The following is a 17,408-nucleotide window of genomic DNA, read 5'->3' as shown; positions in this document are numbered from 1 at the left end:
AGGCCGGCAGATCACCTGAGGTCAGGAGTTCAAGACCAGTCTGGTCAACATGGTGAAACCTCGTCTCCACTAAAAATACAAAAAAATTAGCTGGGTGTGGTGGTGCATGCCTGTAGTCCCAGCTACTTGGGAGGCTGTGGCAGGAGAATCGTTTGAACACAGGAGGCAGGGGTTGCAGTGAGCCAAGATTGTGCGACTGCACTCCAGCCTGGGCAACAAAGTGAGACTCTGTCTCAAAAAAAAAAAAAAAAAACAGGCCAGGCATGGTGGCTCACACCTGTAATCCCAACACTTTGGGAGGCCGAGGCAGGCAAGGCAGATCACCTGAGGTCAGGCGTTCAAGACCAGCCCGGCCAATGTAGTCAAACCCCATCTCTACTAAAAATACAAAAATTAGCTGGGCATGGTGGTGGGTGCCTGTAATCCCAGCTACTCAGGAGGCTGAGGCGAGGAGAATCACTTGAACCTGGGAGGCAGAGGTTGCAGTGAGCCGAGATTGTGCCACTGCACTCCAGCCTAGGCGACAGAACAAGACTCTGTCTCAATAAAAAAACAAACAAACAAACAAACAAAACAAATGATACACACAACTTGGATTAATCTCCAGGGAATTATGCTGAGTTGGGGGGTGGGGGGGAGCCAATCCCAAAAGGTTACATTCTATATGATTCCATTTATACAACATTTGTAAAATGACAAAATTTTAGAAATGGAGGACAGTTTCATAGTTACCAAGGTTTGGAGTGTAGAAATATCGGGAGGCTATAATTACAAAAGAACATGAAGGGTCCTTGTTCCTTGGAACTGTTGTATATTGACTATGGTGGTGGATACATGAACCTATGAATGACAAAATTGTACCAAATTTCATATACACACAAATGAATAAAAATAAAACTGGGGAATTTTAATAAGGCTGGTGTACTACACCAGATGTCAATATTCTGGTTGTGATGTTATAAAAATTTCCCAAAACTGCTACCATTGGAAGAAACTGGGCAAAGTATACAAGAGATCCCTTTGTATTACCTTTTACAACTGCATGAGAAATTACAATTATCTTAATAAAAATTTCAACTTAAAAAAAGTCTGTACAGAAGCATTGCTAATTATACGAAAGAAACAAATCAACACTGTCCTTTGTTCTAATTTTGATATGATGTACTTTTTGGGTCTCCAGAATAATGGTTTTTCCATTTTCTAATGTTTTAAACCTTGGAAGCTCTGTTTCTGGGTCGTATGTGAAACACAGCATTCTAGGCCAGGCGTGGTGGCTCCCACCTATAAATCCCAGCACTCTGGGAGGCTGAGGCAGGAGTACTGATTGAGCCTAGGAGTTCGAAACCAGCCTGGGTAACATGGCGAGACCCCATCTCTATTAATTTTTTTTAATCAACAGTAAATAATAAATAAAAAAAAGAAATGTAGCATTCCATTAATAGTTGCTGTTTTCCTCAAAAATATTATTTTTCAGCTCTGGAAAGAAGAATAAACATCAAGCAATCACTTATGCTTGCAACCCAAAATACACTGCACTGTCTTCAAATAAAAACGTTTTTCTCATTTCAGATTTCCCTTAAGACTGAGTTTTCTTCACTAAAATTTCATTTTAATCAACTTTTCAAATTCCTTTTCTTTTTTTTTTTTCTTTGAGACGGAGTTTCACTCTTGTTGCCTAGGCTGGAGTGCAATGACGTGATCTCGGCTCACCACAACCTCTGCCTCCTAGATTCAAGCAATTCTCCTGCCTCAGCCTCCCGAGTAGCTGGGACTACAGGCATGCGCCACCATGCCCAGCTAATTTTTGTATTTTTAGTAGAAACAGGGTTTCTCCATGTTGGTCAGGCTGGTCTCGAACTCCCGACCTCAGGTGATCCACCGGCCTTGGCCTCCCAAAGTGCTGGGATTACAGGCGTGAGCCACCGCACCGGGCCTCAAATTCCTTTTCTTACAGTCCAAATTTAATGAACTAATTTCATAAACCCTCAATTATTCATCTATTTGAAGGACCCACCTCTATGACCTTTACAAGACTTTTAGTCTTCTGGGTTCAGATGTCCTGTTAACCTCAACATCCTTTGTAATCCTTTAAACTCTTTTTTTATATATAAAATAAAGTTTTAAAAAGCTGGCCTTGGTGGCTTTAGAGGCTGAGGCAGGAAGACTGCTTGAGCCCAGGAATTTGATCCAGTCTGGGCAACACAGCAAGACCCTGTCTCTACAAAAATCAAATCAAATAAAAATGAAACTCCTCCTTTATGACTTAACCATCTCAATAAACAGTTTTCCCAGGCAAATCTCTTCAGCTAATCATACAATTTATATTTTGTGCTAAATAATGGTCTCTTACTTGTAAATCAACACTCAACAAGCTCCTACTCCTTCGTTCTTCACAACTGCTACCACAGCTCTGCCTGGGCAACCTTCTACTGTTAGACGGCCGGGCGCGGTGGCTCACGCCTGTAATCCCAGCACTTTGGGAGGCAGAGGCGGGCGGATCATGAGGTCAGGAGATCGAGACCATCCTGGCTAACACAGTGAAACCCCGCCTCTACTAAAAATACAAAAAATTAGCTGGGCGTGGTGGCGGGCGCCTGTAGTCCCAGCTACTCAGGAGGCTGAGGCAGGAGAATGGCGTGAACCCGGGAGGCGGAGCTTGCAGTGAGCCGAGATTGTGCCACTGCACTCCAGCCTGGGCGACAGAACGAGACTCTGTCTCAAAAAAAAAAAAAAAAAAAGTTGAAAGAGATTGCCAGTATTTCTCTTATTAGCCTCTCCCTTTTGCAAACAAAACGAGAATACCAGTATTTCCTTTGCCATGCTTGTGCGTCATTATACACCACAATTCTTGAAAAGAAACATCATCGGCTCTTCTCTATTATGCGCTAAGATGGCAAAGGACAAGTAACCCGAACAAAATCCTTGATATTTTATTCTAAGACTTGTTACTTACCTATTCGTGCCCCTCCAAAAAAAAAAAACAAAAACAAAACCACAGCAACTCTACTTTTCAAATTGAAATTGATGAGCAGGAAAACTATCACTGATTTTTTTTAACATAACAATGAAATTCTCAGAATGAGCAATGTGGTTATGAATAAGATTGGCTGTGGATTCTAATAAAAACTCCTGGCGGGGCGCAATGGCTTACACCTGTAATCCCAGCACTTTGGGAGGCCGAGGCAGGTGGATCACCTGAGGTCAGGAGTTTGAGACCAGCCTGGTCAACAGGGCGAAACCCTGTCTCTGCTAAAAATACAAAAATTAGCCAGCAGTGGTGGCTCATGCCTGTAATCCCAGCTACTCGGGAGGTTGAGGCAGGAGAATCATCTGAACCCGGGAGGTGGAGGTTGCAGTGTGCCAAGATGACGCAACTGCACTCCAGCCTCGGGAACAAAAGTGAAACTCTATCTCAAAAAAAAAAAAAAACTAATTAGCCATGTGGCCTTTTGGCCTTCTGGAAGTTACTTCACCTCACCAGTCTCAGTTTTCCCACTTTGAAAATTCATTTAAGGGTTCATTCCTGCACTAACATTCTGTGATTCTAACATTCCAAGAAGGTCTATGCAAATACAGACAACAAAAAGACAAATCTGCCTTCAACAACTGAAAGTACAGACCAGTGATATTAAAGCATGGGAAAGTACCATAAAGGATCCTCTTGATTCACAACCACTGGTTAACAGTAGCTAACACCTGGAACAGGAGGGGCCGTCTGTGATCAAATGCTCTTTTAGAGAACTGGGTCGAGTGTTAGTTTTTTGGGTTTTGTTGAGCGGTGGGGAAAATATATCTAAAACATTTACCATTTAAACCATTTTCTAAAACATAACATTAAATTTGCCATCTTAACCATTTTTAATGTGTACAGTTCAGTAGGTGTTAAGTGTATCACACCATTGTGCAACAGATCTCCAGAGCCTTTTCATTCTGCAAAACTGTAATGCGTTGTTTTATACTCATTAAACACCTTCCTATTTCCCTCTTCCCCAGCCCCTGGTAATCACCATTATTTCTGTTTCTATGAATTTGACTTTAGATAGCCTCATATTCATATAAATGAAATCACATAGTATTTGTCTTTTCATGCATTTCAAACATTTTTAAGTGTACAATTCATTGGCATTAAATTAATTCACACTGTTATACAACCATCAACACTATTCCTCTCTGGAACTTTTTCATCCTTCCAAACTAAAACTCTGTGATCATTAAGCAATAACTCCCCATTACTCTGTCCCCCAGGCCCCAGTAACCACTATTCCACTAATTTTGTCTACTATAGGTACCTCACACATTATTTGTCCTTTTGTGTCCAACTCATTTTACTTAGTAAACTATTTTCAAGGCGTATCCATGTGGTAGCATGTTAGAATTTCCCTCCCTTTTAAGGCTGAATAATATTCCATTCTATGTGTATACCACATTTTGTTTATCCATTTATCCACTGATGAACATGTGAGTTGTTTCCACCTTTCAGCTATCGTGCATAATGCTACTATGAATGCTGGTGTACAAATAGCTGTTTGAGTCTTTTTTGTTGTTGTTTGTTTTGAGACAGGGTCTTGCTCTGTCATCCAGGCTGGAGTACAGTGGCATGATCATCAGCTCACTGCAACCTCCGCTTCCCGGGTTCAAGTGATCCTCTCACCTCAGCCTCCCAAGCAGCTGGTACTACAGGCATGCGCCAACATGTACAGCTAATTTTGGGGGGTTTCTTGGTAGAGACAGGATCTCACCATGTTGCCCAGGCTGGTCTTGAACTCCTGAGCCCAAGTAATCTGGCCTCCTAAAGTGCTGGGATTTACGGGCATAAGCCACCTTGCCTGGCCCTGTTTGAATCTTTGATTTAAATTATCCTGGATATAACTCGAAGTGAGATCACTAGATCATATGGTAATTTCATTTTTAATTTTTTGAGAAACCACCCTATTGTTTCTCACTGTGGCTGCACCATTTCACATTCCCACCAGCAATGCACCAAGGTTCCAATTTCTCTACAACCTCATCACTTGCTTTTGTCGTTTGTTGTTGTTGTTATAACTATCCTAAATGGTCGCAAAGTAACATCTCACTGTGGTTTTGATTTGCATTTCCCTAATTATTAGTGATGCTGAACATCTTTCCATATGTTTATTGGGCATCTGCTTAGCTTCTTTGGAGAAATACCTACAGAGGTTTTTTTTTTTTAAATAGTAATTATGAAACAATTCACAAATTTGCGTGTCATCCTTGCGCAGGGACCATACTAATCTTCTCCATATCCTTCCAATTTTAGTATATATGCTACCGAGACAAGCACTCTGGATGGTCTTTTGGGGTTTTTTGTTTAAGACAGAATCTCACTCTGTCATCCAGGCTGGAGTGAGATGGTACAATCATAGCTCACTGCAGCTTCAAACTCCTGGGCTCAAGTGATCCTCCCATCTCAGCCTCCTGAGTAGCTGGGACTACAGGTGTACACCACCGCACCCAGCTAATTTTTTATTTAAAAGCTTTTTTTTGTAGAGATGGGGTCTCGCTAAGTTGCCCAGGCTGGTCTCGAACTCCTGAGCTCAAGCTATCCTCCTGCCTCAGCCTCCCAAAGTGTTGGAAATACAGGTGTGAGCCACAGCACCCAGCCTAATCAATCATTTCTTAAATGCAGGTTAGTGGAACCAACCTACTCTTCCAAAACTTAGCAAAATCATCCTGACAACAAAATGTATGTATTATACCTCTCTTAGGGACAAGAGCCTTTACCAACTTGATTTCTTACATGGAGCCGAGAGACTCCAATTCCCAGTGAAAAATATTCCCTGTTAAAAAATGAGTAAGCCTGTGGTGGAGAAAGGATTAATGACACCAAAAGGTAGCACATCCAGTATAGAAGCAGCCCACTAAAAGCTTGTGCTTTGGGGACAAATCCATGTAATTCCCACATCACTAATAAGTAACGCATTCCTGAGCTCATACTACCAAGATGGTTATGGTCAAATCAACCACTGAAATCTTCTCATCCAAAAGCAGTAACTCTCTTAAGCCTATTTTTCAAACAACCTTTCAATTTCTCTTTTTCTTTTCTTTTTTTTTGAGACAGAGTTTTGCTCCTGTTGCCCAGGTTGGATTACAATGGCACGATCTCGGCTCACCGCAACCTCCGCCTCCCTGGTTCAAGCGGTTCTCCTGCCTCAGCCTCTAGAGTAGCTGAGATTACAGGCATGCGCCACCACGCCCAGCTAATTTTGTATTTTTGGTAGAGACAGGGTTTCACCATGTTGGCCAGGCTGGTCTCGAACTCTGACCTTAGGTGATCTGCCCGCCTCGGTCTCCCAAAGTGCTGGGATTACAGGCGTGAGCCACCAAACCCAGCCCCAACCTTTCAATTTCTAAGAGCAGTCTTGCCCTATTAAGCCAAACAGCTAACATTCTTTTTTTTTTTTTTTTTTTTTTTGAGTCAGCGTCTCACTCTTGTCACCCAGGCTTGAGTGCAGTGGCACGAGCTCAACTCACTGCAACCTCCGCCTCCCGGGTTTAAGCAATTCTCCTGCCTCAGAGCCTCCCAAGCAGCTGGGGCAACAGGCACACACCACCATGCCTAGCTAATTTTTGTATTTTTAGTAGAGACGGGGTTTCACCATGTTGGCCAGGCTGGTCTCAAACTCCTGACCTCTGGTGATCCACCTGCATTGGCCTCCCAAAGTGCTGGGATTACAGGCATGAGCCACTGCGCCCGGCCACAGCTAATATTGGTAAGTCTGATCCCAATCTACTTCATATAATGATCAGAAAGTAGGTAAAAAGGAAAAATTTTACATAAACTACCCCCAATTCATATTAAGGGGATCCTGATTGTACCACCTGTCTGCCTACCTGCCTGCCTTCATTCATTATTTATGGTGCACCCATTAAATGCAGGTACCCTTCCAGGTGTTTAGCACACATGAGAAAAAAAAAAAAGACAAAGATTTCTGCCTTTGTGCAACTTATATTCTGGTGCCCTTGGATTCGTTTTGAGATTGGTTGAGTGTACCATACCAGTAATTTGTTTTTTGCAGCAGTCTCCAATAAATCTGACCATAAATACAATACATAATTTCTAATACGGATGTATGAGAATTGAAAATATATAGAAAAATTCAAATACAGTAGTCTTTGTGAACACCATCCTATAAATCTATAAAAATTATTTCTTCAAAAAACCATAGCCAATAAGAAACTTAAATGACTGCACCTGAAATAATGAGGGCCTGCCTTATTTTGGCAGTCAGGTCCTTCTGAACACCTGCAAGATAACTACTTCTATACAAACCTCTGGATGTTTTCTGTTTTTGTTTTATCATACACGGTCTCGCTCTGTCACCCAGGCTGGAGTGCAGTGGTGTGATCCGAGCTCACTGCACCTTTGAACTCCTGGACTCAAGTGATCCTCCCACCTCAGCCTCCCCTGTAGCTAGAACTACAGGAACATGCCACCATGTCCTGCTAATTTTTTGTTTTTGCAGAGATGGGGTCTATGTTGCCCAGACTGGTCTCAAACTCCTGACTTCAAGTGAACTTCCCAACTCAGCCTCCCAAAGTGCTGGGATTACAGGTTTGAGCCACCACGCCCAGTCCTCAGGATGTTATAGATTCTCTATAAATCATTTATAGAGAATGCTCTAGATTTTAAAAACAACACAGCCAGACGCGATGGTGCTCGCCTGTAGTCCCAGCTACGTGAGAGGCCGAGGAAGGAGGATTGCTTAAGCCCAGGAGTTCGAGGCTACAGTGAGCTATGATTGCACCACTGCACTCCAAGTTGGGTGACAGAGTGAGATTTAATCTTTTAAACAACAACAAGAAACCCTCATCACTTAATAACATTTAACACATTCCTGAAAGTAGTCTACATTCAAAGTATTTCTAGTCATCTGCACGTTGACCAACTGGCTACTTTACATTGTTTAGACACATACCATCCAGTATGGTAGCTACAAGCCACATGTAGCTATTAATCACTTGAAATATGCCTCTTTAAAATTTATTTTTTCATTACATAATATACATCCATGTAGAAATACGCCTAATCTGAGATGAGTTGTAAGCATAGCTTACAAACCAGAGAAAAAGAATGTGAAATATCTCAACAATTTTAATTTTTTTTTCATACAGACAGGGTCTCACTATGTTGCCCAGGCTGGTCTTGAACTCTTGGGCCCAAGCAATCCTCCCACCTAGGCCTGCCAAAGTGCTGGGATTACAGGTGTGAGCCACTGAGCCTGCCCTCAACAATTTTTAAATCTTGATCACACAATAAAGTAACATTCTAGATATGAGTTAAAATATATTATTAAAATTTACTTTTTAGGCCAAGTGTGGTGGCTCACGTCTGTAATCCCAGAACTTTGGGAGGCCGAGGTGGGTGGATCACCTGAGGTCAGGAGTTCTTGACCAGCCTGGCCAACATGGCAAAACCGCATCTCTACTAAAAATACAAAAAAATTAGCTGGGCGTGGTAGTGGGTACCTGTAATCCCAGCTACTAGGGAGGCTGAGGCAGGGAGAATTGCTTGAATCTGGGAAGTGGAGGTTGCAGTGAGCCCAGATCGCGCCACTACACTCCAGCCTGGGCAACACAGTGATACTCCATCTCAAAAAGAAAAAAAATTTTTTTACTTTTTAAAATGTGACTATTTGGCCAGGTACAGTGGCTCATGCCTGTAATCCCAGGATTTTGGGAGGCCAAGGTGGGCGGATCACCTGACGTCAGGAGTTCAAGACCAGCCTGGCCAACATGGTAAAACCCTGTCTCTACTAAAAAATTCAAAAATTAGTTGGGCATGGTGGCACACGCCTATAATCCCAGGTACCTGGGAGGCTGAGGCAGTAGAATTGCTTGAACCTAGGAGGCGGAGGTTGCAGTGAGCCAAGACTGCACCACTGCACTCCAGTCTAGGCAACAGAACAAGACTCTATATCTTAAAAAAAAAAAAAAAAAAAAGTGGCTATTAAAAGTAATATATGTGGCTCACATTATTTCTTTTGAACGGCACTGGTTAAACGCAATGGTAGATTTTTTTTTTTTTTTTTTTGAGACAGAGTCTCGCTCTGTTGCCCAGGCTGAAGTGCAGTAGTGCGACCTCGGCTCACTGCAAGCTCCGCCACCTTCTGGGTTCATGCCATTCCCCTGCCTCAGCCTCCCGAGCAGCTGGGACTACAAGCGCCCACCACCACGGACAGCTAATTTTTTGTATTTTTAGTAGAGACGAAGTTTCACCATGTTTGGCAGGATGGTCTCGATCTCCTGACCTCGTGATCCACCCACCTCAGCCTCCCAAAGCGCTGGGATTATAGGCGTGAGCCATCGCGCCCCGCCCAATGGTATTTTAAACCTGTGCACAGAGCTAATACATGTATGTGTTCAAGCTGTACTCAGAATCATTTATTTTCTCAACTTACACTATTCAACATCTTATATGTGAAAACATTTTTACCTGAAAGTATGAAAATGTCAGAGTCTAGGCTGGGCGCAGTGGCTCATGCCTGTAATCCCAGCAGTTTGGGAGGCTGAGGCAGGTGGATCACCTGAGGTCAGGAGTTCAAGAGCAGCCTGACCAACATGATGAAACACCACCTCTACTAAAAATACTAAATTGGCCAGGCGTGGTGGTGCGCACCTGTAATCCCAGCTACTCAGGAGGCTGAGGCAGGAGAATCGCTTGAACCTGGGAGGCAGAGGTTGCAGTGAACAGAGATTGTGCCACTACACTCCAGCCTGAGCAACAAAAGCGAAAATCCATCTCAAAAAAAAAAAAAACAAACAAACAAAGGAGGGCAGTGTGGTGGCTTCCGCCTGTAATCCCAGCACTTTGAGACGCTGAGGCGGGCAGATCACCTGAGGTCAGAAGTTCGAGACCAGCCTGGCCAACATGGTGAAACCCCGTCTCTATTAAAAATACAAAATTAGCCAGGTGTGGTGGCATATGCCTGTAATCCCAGCTACTTGGGAGGCTGAGGCAGAAGAATCACCTAAGCCTGGGAGGCGGAGGTTGCAGTGAGCCGAGATCACACCATTGCACTCCAGCCTGGGCAAAAAGAACGAAACTCCGTCTCAAAAAAAAAAAGAAATTGTTTAGTGGAGCACCAACAAATACTTGGGTACCACGGTGTGCAGGATGTTCAATCCATAAAATAACATGTTCTGCCACACCTCCACAGCAGAAGAGTCACATATTCTATATATAGCTAATATGCACTGTGCTCCTACAAAGTGCCTGGTCCTGGCACCATGTGAAGTGCTTTACTCTCACTAACCCCTAAAATCCTCACAACTACCCTATGTGGTAGATATTATGATTGACACTTTTTTTTTTTTTTGAGACAGAGTTTCACTCTTGTTGCCCAGGCTGGAGTGCAATGGCACGATCTCGGCTCACCACAACCTCTGTCTCCCGGGTTCAAGCGATTCTCCTGCCTCAGCCTCCTGAGTAACTGGGATTACAAGCATGCGCCACCACGCCCAGATAATTTTTGTATTTTTAGTAGAGACAGGGTTTCTCCATGTTGATCAGGCTGGTCTCGAACTTCCGACCTCAGGTGATCCGCCTGCCTCGGCCTCCCAAAGAGCTGGGATTACAGGAGTGAGCCACCGTGCCCAGCCTTAACACTCTTAAAGAGCCTGAAGCCGACAGAGGTTAAGTAATCTGCCAAAGTTGCACAGCTAGTAACCTGTGGAAACAAGATTCCAACCCAGCAGACTTGATCCAAAATCATCACACATCTTCCCAAGTAAAAGGGCTACAAAAAGATTATACCATTATCTTACAGGATTGAGTTTTAGTTGGGGGCATGCACCCTTTACAAAAAGATTGGAGTAGACAGAGTTAATGTTTTGCTTCCTACTCCACACTGTTCCTAAGGATAGGTTAAAGTTGACCACACAGCCAGGCGTGGTGGCTCACGCCTGTAATCCCAGCACTTTGGGAGGCTGGGGCGGTGGATTGCTTGAGGTCAAGACCAGCCTGACCAACATGGTGAAACCATCTCTACTAAAAATACAGAAATTAGCCAGGTGTGGTGGTGGGCACCTGTAGTCTCTGCTACTCAGGAAGCTGAGGCAGAATTGCTTGAACCCCTGAGGCGGAGGTTGCAGTGGGCCGAGATCACGCCACTGCACTCCAGCCTGGGCCACAGAGTGAGGCTCAGTCTCAAAATAAATAAATAAAGTTGACCACATGAATTAAATCCTCAACCTTACTATACATTTGTTCTATGCTCCCTTTTCCAGAAAGGCCCTATCCTACCCCTCTGACTCTATTCCTATTAGTCCTTCAGACTTCATTTATTTATTATTATTTTGAGACGGAGTCTGGCTTTGTTGCCCAGGCTGGAGTGCAGTGGCACAATCTCAGCTCACTGCAACCTCCGCCTCCCAGGTTCAAGTGATTCTCCTGCCTCAGCCTCCTGAGTAGCTGGGACTACAGGTGCCTGCCACTACGCCCAGCTAATTTTTGTATTTTTAGTAAAAACGGGGTTTCACCATATTGGCCAAACTGGTCTTGACCTCCCGACCTTGTGATCCGCCCGCCAAGGCCTCCCAAAGTGCTGGGATTACAGGCATGAGCCACCGCGCCCGGCCCAGACTTCATTTTAGGTATCATCTCCACGTAAGCCTACTCAAACTCCTCACGATTTAGACTAGCCACTCTTCCTCCCTGTGCTTACTATTGTAGCATCTTCCACACTATTATGATTATCTCACCGGAATGCTCCTCAAGGGGTCTGTTGTGTTCATCATTTATTCCCAGTGCCTAAAAACAGTGCCCAGCATTAGGTGCTCAATAAATATTTGCTGACCCATCTGATCACCTAACCCTAGCCAGCTACAGCTAAAAGTGGAGTGTTAAAAGCAAACAGTGCTAGGGAAGTGCTAGCGCTAAGTGCTAGTATTCTCTAACCCACAAGTTAGAGAACAAGCTCTAAGTTTCATGAAATTTATGACAGACCAAGAAAACAGTATGATACTCTGGAAATAAGGATTATGATAATTTGCCTCCCAAAAAAGGTAAGCAAAATAAAAATCTATTTAAAAAATCACTTGTCCAATTTAATTTCAGTATAATTTCTTTTGTGAGAATGAAGCAGGTATTTGTCACAAAAGAAAACCCAAACCAAATATTTCAGTTACGCTATACAAACTGTTTCAAATCAGCTTAATTTTGACAATTCCCAGAGTTCAAAGACGACTGCCGTTGCTTTTTAAAAGCCTCTCAATATAAAAGTACATTTAAAAATGGGTTCAACTGCACCGCCACAATGCTGAGAGCCATGTGTCTTTTAAGAAATTTATTGCGGAGCGGATGGGTTTCACAATTAATATAGCACAATTAGCGTCAATGCCACTTAAATTTTCTAACCAGATTCAAAAGGGACTTTCCTAGAGCCTTCCCTTTTCCTTTCCTAAACGGGAAATTCGATTAAAAAGGTCACTCTTTAGCTCTTACTTCCACACTAAGTAATTCTGAAACATGGTGAAAGTGCATTATAAGTCCATAGGGCTATGACTGGCAAAATACTTTCCTGTAAATACTAGAGTCAAATAAAATAGAAGAGAGAGCTTGACTTCACTCCGTTGGGTTTGAGGACAGAAACTGATCATCTCCCTCAGATTACTGCTTCTGTTGATGTCTCGAAAAGCACTGAGGCAAATATGCCAGAGTCCCACCCCAAGCGCGAAGAGCCTCCGATTGTTTGACACATCAATGGATTAGTGAATGAGGGCAACTCACTCTTCCCTTCTAATTTACCTTAATTATTCTTCTCAGAAACCCTCAAGTTTACTCTAAGTTATCACCATATGGAATCTTTTCTTTGCCCCAAAGTATAAATTCAGGCCTTTCCCAAATAGCTAGTACTGCTTCAATCGCAACCACTGAAATAAATACCTTAAAAATATCACACATCTACTAATTCCACGCAAATGTGGAAAAAGCCAGTCCAGTCGCCTGAAGAAATAAGGTTCTGGAACATGGTTAAATGATGCATATTTTGTAACAGAAGGCACTGAGCATAGTGGGAGACTCGAAAGCAAAAGACCGGATGGAAATCATGGGAAGACCCCGCCCCAGTAAGCTCGATGCCGATTCAAACAGTAACTTGGATGTGTCGTTTGGAATCGGAATCACTGAAACAAAGGCGTATATTACGGGAAGCAAGATGTCTGGAGTAAAATAAACGGTATGCAGCTACCGAGACCGTACACCGTCCTCCCACAGGTCTTACCTATGGTGGAAATAAAGGTAGTATTGAAGGCATCATCCGAAAAACGAAAAAGGACGCAGGTCTTCCCCACTCCGGAATCCCCGATCAGGAGCAGCTTGAAAAGCAGGTCGTACGTCTTCTTCGCCATTGGGAGGAGCGGCTCGGGCTCTCGCCGCCGGCGGCCCCAAGGGATCGGTCCCTCTCACTACGGCCAACTCCTCACTCGGGCGTTCTCAGGCCGGAGGACCGGGGAAGCGTGGGAAAAAGGCTCGAGACGGCGCGGGCGACCTACGAACAGCTTTGAGGAAGCCCCGACAGTGGCGGCGTCCAGTGCCTCCGAGGGCGGCGACCGCGGCTCCGCAGCCTCTCCCAGCCCGTCCGCCCGGTTCCGGGGAGTCGGTCGGGACAAAATGGCCTCCCCTCCCCCCTCAGGGCTTCTCGGCCGGGACGCTCCCACGGGCGAGCAAGCCTGCTCTGCCGTCGAGGAGGCGCAGCGGGCGTGAGGACAGTCTCTCTCCCGAGCGGAAACTCCCTGCTAGCACGCGGCGAGGGCAGCGAAGAAGGACCCCTAAGTCGACGAGCTCAGTTACATAGCCCCAGGAAACCGAGCCACCCCGGCCAGAGCCACCTTTTCCCCGTGCCCTCTCACGCCGGCGTGCGCGCTGCCTGAGACGCACGCAAGGGCGTACGCCCGCCCTTCCCTCACGCCCTAGCCTTGCGGTCCGCCTCTGCGCACGCGCACAAGAGGGCATGGGGGCGCGCCGAAGTGGCGAGTGGAATGCTCCTGTCTCCAAGCCTCAGTCTGAGGCTGGACCCAGAGGGGAGAAGGGAGGGGCGAGAAAGGGCGAGGCCGCGGGCGCGCTCCCTGTGGCCGCCTGATAGGGTGCGCGGCGTTACGAGCACGCCCCGGGGGAGACGCTACCTAGCGACTGCGCAGGCGCAGCGCCCCCCCTCCGACCCCCGCCTCCCGCCTCCCGCTCCCCGCTCCCCGGGACACCCTTACAGAGCCCAGCACCTCCTTCCCCTCCCGGGGTCTCCCGCTGGACTGCGCTGCGGTTTCTCTGCACAGCGCTTGTCGGGTGTGTTGAGCTGGAGGTCTTGGCGCAGCGACGGGCTTGGGTGGCCATGTGTTCCCGTGTAGGTGGAGCTCGTAAACGCGAGAAAAAGCCGCGCCCTGGGTCATTTAATAGCCTCTTTGCTAGAACGAGACGCCTCCCGGCGTGCCCCCTCTCCAGGGCCAGCCCTGACGGGGAAACATGAGCGCTCCATCCGGATTGACTTCAAGAGCAAGAGTTTGAGATGGAAAAGCTGGCCACGCCGCTCGGGTTGGGATGAGGTAATCCTCACAACCTCTTCCTGGGCGAGGAGAGGAAGGTTGAGGAACACCTGGGCGCAGGAAGAACCTCCCTGCGAAGTGGAGGGTTCTGTGCGGTGCTCAGAGAACCTGCTTCAGGCCTTTGCCGTCCTTCAGGAATCCGGGAGAACCCGAGAGCGCTCTGCAGAGGAGGTGGGGCCTCTGCCTGCCGCCAGCGTCGTACCACTGGGTTGAAAATTGAAAGGTGGTCAAGCCTACTCCCAGTCCGACACAGCCTGCTTCCTCGCATTTTCTTTTTCTTTTTTTCTTTTCTTTCTTTTTTTTTTTTTTTTTTTTGAGATGGAGTTTCGCTCGTTTCCTCGCATTTTCTTTTTCTTTTTTTCTTTTCTTTCTTTTTTTTTTTTTTTTTGAGATGGAGTTTCGCTCTTGTTGCCCAGGCTAGAGTGCAATGGCACAATCTCTGCTCACTGCAACCTCCACCACCTGGGTTCAAGTGATTCTCCTGCCTCGGCCTCCCAAGTAGCTGGGATTACAGGCATGTGCTACCACGCCCGGCTAATTTTTTGTATTTAGTAGAGACGGGGTTTCACCCTGTTAGTCAGGCTGGTGTCGAACACCTGACAGGTGACCCGCCCGCCCCGGCCTCCCAAAGTGCTGGGATTACAGGCGTTAGCCCCCGCGCCCGGGCCCTCGCATTTTCTTTGCATTTGCTTTACCTTCTGTTCTCTCTCCCCATCAGTCCTGTTTACGCCACCCTTTTTCTCTCCTACCCTTCTGTAGTTGCAGTATGCATGCTGCTGACCTTCCATTCTCAGGGACATCCATCCCTCAAAGCACACCTAGGTGTGATGGCACAGGAGTTGAACCTGGTGAGCTGGTTCAACCTGATAAAGTGGAAAACGCTGAAGTATGTGGAAAACAAGAAACAGGGATAGAGAAGTAAAAACTACATTTTCACACACACCACCCCAAGATCGCCAAATCACCAAAATGTGTATTTGATATGTAATTAAAGTTAGACTTTCAGGCAATTCCGTCTTACATTTCTGTCTTATATTTCTGTCTTACATTTTTCCTTTCTTCTCAACCACCCCTAAAGCGTCCTTACCGAAGATACTTGTCTTCACTAATACAGCTTTCTCTTCAGTTGTTTTCTCCAATTGCTCCTAGTCTTGTCACTTAAACATTTTTTTTTTTTGAGACAGACTCTCACTCTACCACCCATGCTGGAGTGCAGTGGCACAATCTCGGCTTACTGCAGCCCTTCCGGGTTCAAGTGATTCTCCTGCCTCAGCCTCCTTAGTAGCTGGGATTACAGGCGTGTGCCACCAAGCCTGGCTAATTTTTATATTTTTAGTAGAGACGGGGTTTCACCATGTTGGCCAGGCTGGTCTTGAACTCCTGACCTCAGATGATCCATCCGCCTCAGCCTCCCAAAGTGCTGGGATTACAGGTGAGAGCCACTGCGCCTGGCCTCACTTAAACCTTCTTATCCTCTATGAATCATTCTGACTGTAGTCGGGAATGCCTTATGATAATAACAATTCTAAAATAGACTAGCTATGCAAATCACAAAGTGAGTGATGGTCAGTGCAGCACAGGTGTGTCGTCAATTCAGCGTCAGAAGGAAAATCTTGTTACCTTGATTATTCCTTTCAAAATAAGTTAGATTAACTCAAGCCTCAATGTTACAAAGTATTTTAAAAGTCTTGAAAGTTTTTAAGCTGGGCACAGTGACTGAACCTGTAGTCCCAGCTATTCAGGAGGCTGAGGAGGGAGGATTGCTTGACCCCAGGAGATTGAGACCAGCCTGGACAACAGAGTGGACTCCATCTGTGAAAAAATGAAGTGTTAAAGGTTTTGTTTGTTTTTAAGACAGGGTCTTGCTTGTTTCCCACACTGGAGTGTGGAGGCCTCACTGCAACCTCAAACTCCTGGCCTCAAGCGATCCTCCCACCTTGGCTTCCTAAGGTGCTGGGATTACAGGTGTGAGCCAACAGGCCCAGCCAAGACTTTTTCCTGTAGAAGGCCTAATTTGGGCCGGGCCTAGTGGCTCTCACCTGTAATCCCAGCACTTTGGGAGACCGAGGTGGGTGGATCGTTTGAGGTCAAGAGATCGAGACCATCTTGGCCAACATGGTGAGACCCCATCTCTACTAAAAATACATTAATTAGCTGAGCATGGTGGCATGCACCTGTAGTCCCAGCTACTCAGGAGGCTGAGGCAGGAGAATTGCTTAAACCAGGGAGTCGGAGGTTGCAGTGAGCCAAGATTGCACCACTGCATTCTAGCCTGGTGACAGAGCAAGACTCCATCTCAAAAAAAAAAGCCTAATTTGGAGAGTAATACCACTACGTAAATTTTGGGGATAATGGACAGTTGAAAAATCTGAAAAACCCAACACAAATGATAAATGTTTGAGGTGATGGGTAACCTCATTTGTAATGATTTGATCATTACACACAGTATGCATGTATCAAAAATCACATGTACTTCCATTAATATGTACAAATATAAGTAAAAAAGATTTTTTCACTTTATTTTTTATCCTGTAACCAACAATTTTATCACTTAGAAACCTTTCCCCATGAACTCATATTCTGAAACTTTAGGAATTATTACATTTATTAACAAATTATCGATCATAGACTTTTTTTTTTTTGAGATAGAATCTCACTCTTTCACCCAGACTGGAGTGCAGTGGCACAGTCTTGGTTCACTGCAACTTCTGCCTCCTGGTTCAAGTGAAACTCCTGCCTCAGCCTCCCAAGTAGCTGGTATTACAGGCACCGCCACCACGCCTGTCTTGAGTTTTGTATTTTTAGTAGAGATGGGGTTTCATCATGTTGGCAAGGCTGCTCTTAGACCCCTG

At 45.4% G+C, this 17,408-nt stretch overlaps 1 protein-coding gene, 1 long non-coding RNA gene and 1 pseudogene across 3 annotated transcripts in view, besides 2 other annotated features; 1 reads left to right on the top strand and 2 right to left on the bottom strand.

Moving 5' to 3' along the window:
- The window catches only part of RAB10 (RAB10, member RAS oncogene family), a 104,170-nt gene extending 89,478 nt beyond the window's left edge, over positions 1-14,692 (bottom strand). Inside the window, exon 1 of one of the 2 annotated variants that reach the window (XM_047443004.1) lies at positions 14,236-14,692. In XM_047443004.1, the coding sequence (XP_047298960.1) occupies positions 14,236-14,347 (112 nt within the window). In that variant the 5' untranslated portion in view covers positions 14,348-14,692. Of the gene's footprint in view, positions 1-13,241; positions 13,894-14,235 lie in introns of those variants that run through there. The other variant, NM_016131.5, reaches the window with a different exon arrangement.
- RNU6-942P (RNA, U6 small nuclear 942, pseudogene) lies at positions 5,196-5,302 on the bottom strand (annotated as a pseudogene).
- Positions 13,638-13,687: an enhancer, noted in NCBI's record as "active region_15467". NCBI's record gives its function as "activates an Ori minimal core promoter by ATAC-STARR-seq in GM12878 lymphoblastoid cells {active_cell/tissue: GM12878}" and the evidence as "EXISTENCE:reporter gene assay evidence [ECO:0000049][PMID:35858748]".
- Positions 13,998-14,227: a silencer, noted in NCBI's record as "silent region_11268". NCBI's record gives its function as "represses an Ori minimal core promoter by ATAC-STARR-seq in GM12878 lymphoblastoid cells {active_cell/tissue: GM12878}" and the evidence as "EXISTENCE:reporter gene assay evidence [ECO:0000049][PMID:35858748]".
- On the top strand, positions 14,228-15,566 carry LOC124907743 (uncharacterized). Its single transcript, XR_007086249.1, has 2 exons — positions 14,228-14,299; positions 15,316-15,566. It is a non-coding gene; the product is annotated as an uncharacterized LOC124907743 (long non-coding RNA).
- The last annotated feature ends 1,842 nt before the right edge of the window (positions 15,567-17,408 follow it).

This window comes from Homo sapiens, chromosome 2 (assembly GCF_000001405.40).
Source record: "Homo sapiens chromosome 2, GRCh38.p14 Primary Assembly".
Classification (NCBI taxonomy): domain Eukaryota; kingdom Metazoa; phylum Chordata; class Mammalia; order Primates; family Hominidae; genus Homo; species Homo sapiens.
This window is presented reverse-complemented; position numbering and strand designations above follow the sequence as displayed.